The sequence below is a fragment of the Homo sapiens genome, chromosome 7, assembly GCF_000001405.40.
Source record: "Homo sapiens chromosome 7, GRCh38.p14 Primary Assembly".
Taxonomy (NCBI): domain Eukaryota; kingdom Metazoa; phylum Chordata; class Mammalia; order Primates; family Hominidae; genus Homo; species Homo sapiens.
This window is the reverse complement of record NC_000007.14, coordinates 20,580,788-20,584,325: the sequence shown is the minus strand read 5'-3', so window position 1 is coordinate 20,584,325 and position 3,538 is coordinate 20,580,788. Positions and strand designations below refer to the sequence as shown.

Genomic DNA, 3,538 nt, shown 5'->3' with positions numbered 1-3,538 from the left:
CCACGAACCCACTGGCGGGGAAAAGAACAACTCTGGACGCGCCACCTTTAAGAGCTGTGACACTCACTGCGAAGGTCTGTCGCTTCACTCTTGAAGTCAGCGAGACTGCGAGACCACCGGGAGGAACAAACAACTCCGGACGTGCCACCTTTAAGAGCTGTAACACTCACTGCGAAGGTCTGTGGCTTCACTCCTGAAGTCAGCGAGACCACGAACCCACAGGGAGGAATGAACAACTCTGGGTGCACCACCTTTAAGAGCTGTAACACCTACTGTGAAGGTCTATGGCTTCACTCCTGAAGTCAGCAAGACCATGATCCCACCAGAAGAAGAAACTTCGGACACATCTGAACATCTGAAGGAACAAACTCTGGACACACCATCTTTAAGAACTGTAACACTCACTGCGAGTGTCCACGGCTTCATTCTTGAAGTCAGTGAGACCAAGAACCCACCGGAAGGAACCAATTCCAAACACAATATGACCCTGGTAGGCCACCTAGCCATGGATATAAGCGAAATCCCCAAATCCCAGAAGGTAGCACACACAGGCCTGAGGGTGTGGAGTGAAAGCCCCTGTCCCTCAGCACAAAAATTTCCCATAAACTCCCTCATATGCCCAGATGCCAGAGGCGGAAAGAACTGTGAAGGACTGAGCATTTTACTTTAAATAAATTATTTTCTGCTTAGACTCTTTTAAAGAAAAATTAATAAAGTTTTCAAACATCAAAACATTAAAGAAAATAGTGTAATGAACTGCCATATATTCTGATTCTAGAATCATCAAGATACTGCCATGGACACATCACCTAACTTTCTGTTTCATTTTGTCCTCATTAAACTTTGCCTTAATGGGTCTCAAAATTCTGTGACAGATTTGTGGTTAAGTTTTTTCTATTAAAATGGAGTGATTTTAAAAACTAATAACTGAAAACTGCCACATGAAAAAAACAAAACAAAACAGTTGGCAAAACATTCTCCTTCTGAAGATTTTACGAGGCATCGTGATCGTTAACGGGTCTTTTACTATTAAATGGCTAGTTGAAAGAAAGTTCTGAGACTGTTCTTCCACCACTGGTAAAGACTGAGGTGTCAGGCAGTAGGGATAATATTTATTTAGCCTTCTGAGCTTTCTGGGCAGACTTGGTGACCTCGCTTCCTCCAGCAGCCCTCTTGTCTACTGCTTTGATGACACCCACAGCAATTGTCTGTTTCATATGACAAACAGCAAAATGACCCAAAGAAGGACAGTCAGAGAAGCTCTCGACCCACCTGGGCTTGACAGAAACAATTTCAGTGACAACAGCTTCACCCTATTTCAAGAATGTAGGGCCATCTTCCAGCTTCTTACCAGAATGGTGATCAATCTTTCCCCTCAACTCAGCAAAACTGCAAGCAATGTGAACTGTGTGACAATCCAGAATAGCGGCATAGCCACCATTGATTTGGTCTGGATGGTGGAGGATAATAACCTGACCAGTGAAGCTAGTTGCTCCCACTGATGGGTCATTTTTGCTGTCACCAGCAACGTTGCCATGACAGACATTTTTGACAGATATGTTCTTGGCGTTGAGTCCCACATTGTCCCCAGGAAGAGCTTCACTCGAAGCTTCATGATGCATTTCAACAGACTTTACTTCAGTTGTAACGTCGACTGGAGCAAAGGTGAGCACTGTGCTGGGTTTGGGAACTCCAGTCTCCACTCAGCCCACAGAAACAGTACCAATACCACAAATTCTGTAGACATCCTGGAGAGGCCGACTTAAGGTCTTGTCAGTTGGATGAGTTGTTGGTAGGATGCATTGCAGAGTTTCAAGCAGCATGGTTCCACTGGCATTGCCATTTTTACTGGTGACTTTTTGTCCCTTGAACCAAAGCATATTAGCACTTGACTCCAGCACATTCTCACCATTCCAACCAGAAAGTGGCGCACATGCTACTGTGTCAGGGTTGTAGCCAATTTTTGTAATGTACATGCTGACTTCCTTAATGATTCCCTCATGTCTTTTCTGGCTGTAGGGTGACTCAGTGGAATCCATTTTGTTAACACCAATAATTCGTTGTTTCACTCATCTAAAATCTGAGATACTTGAAGGAGCTCTCTCCCATCTCAGCAGCCTCCTTCTCAAACTTTTCAATGGTTCTTTTGTTGATCACCCCACACTGGTAGGTCAGATGGCCAGTAGTCGTGGACTTGCCCTAATCTATATATCTAGTAATGACGATGTTGATATGAGTCATTTCTTTCTCGTTTTGGCTTTGATTTAGTGGTGATTTTCACAACACTCGTGTTCTGGCTGAAAAATCGTTATGAAAAACCTCTTTTTGTTTCTATTTCTTTTTCTTTTTTCTCCTATGCCCTCCCCCATTCTGCCTTGCCCTGCCCTCCCTCCCCCACCCCCTCACCTTATCATTCTTGTGAAAATATTTTAAAGCAAATCTGGGTATCATACCACTTTAATTTCTATATATTTCACTCTTCCCTCTAAAAAATGCAGACCTTGTATAACTACTCTCTTAGATCAGAAGAAACTTAACACTTTTACTTGGAAAACTTAATATTTTTTCGTCTTGATATCCAGCAGTGTTTGGCTTGAGAACAACATTAAATCAGTAATAGAAAAAAAGACACTATTTTTTCTTTGCATATTTCCTTTTAAGATAAAAGGTTGTGTGACATCTCCAATATAGCCACCTTATAATATATTCATTTAAGTGAGTAATTTATAAGATTTCACTTCTCTTCCTCATTGAGATAATGATTATACAAGCAAATTTTTTTGTGTGTTTTGAAAGGGAGCTACATATTATTTAACTTGGAAATCTCAAAAAACACTTTCAGCAACTCCATAAAGCACAGACATTTACCATATTTGACGTCTCATAATAGTAAGTACAGAAACATGAACATTTTTTGGAGCATGTAAATTGGTGGCAGAAGATGACTTGTGCATATATTTATACACACATACACACACGCAAACATACACTTTCACCCAAGCATTTCATTTATAATTCCTAGAAAGTGTATCTACCTTAGAAAGCATTGATTCCTAGCATTTCGGGGTCATTCACTTTTTTTTTTTATAATTTTATAAAAGTTAAGGACTCTAGCTCCAAAACTGAACACTCACACACTCACACAATTTTGAATACATTTTTATTGATTCAAATGCAGCTATGTATCTAGGATACCCTTCTAGCAGCCATAATCAAACCATTTTCATCTTACTTTTTGGCCTTGCGTACATTTTGACTTTATGTTAACTGACGTATCTTTGTATCTGTTTTGCTACAAGCTTCAGTGCCAGGGATATCTTTTATCAGTAATGCTGAGAAATGTTCATTTTTCCAGGAAGGTCACTGGGGCCTCCCCCTGCTTGGCACTTATTGCTCCGTATTCTCCTTGCCAATTCAAATGCCGGTCTCTCCTTCTAAACCCTGAACCTCTCAAGGGCAGAGACAAGGTCTCGTTTAGAGGAGTGCAGCCTCCAAGATCATGTCTGGTTTTAATGGCCCCTAAATAATTACTTACTGG

The 3,538-nt window shown here is 41.1% G+C and overlaps 1 pseudogene; it reads right to left on the bottom strand.

The window, feature by feature from the left end:
• Positions 1-918: 918 nt before the first annotated feature.
• On the bottom strand, positions 919-2,069 carry EEF1A1P27 (eukaryotic translation elongation factor 1 alpha 1 pseudogene 27; annotated as a pseudogene).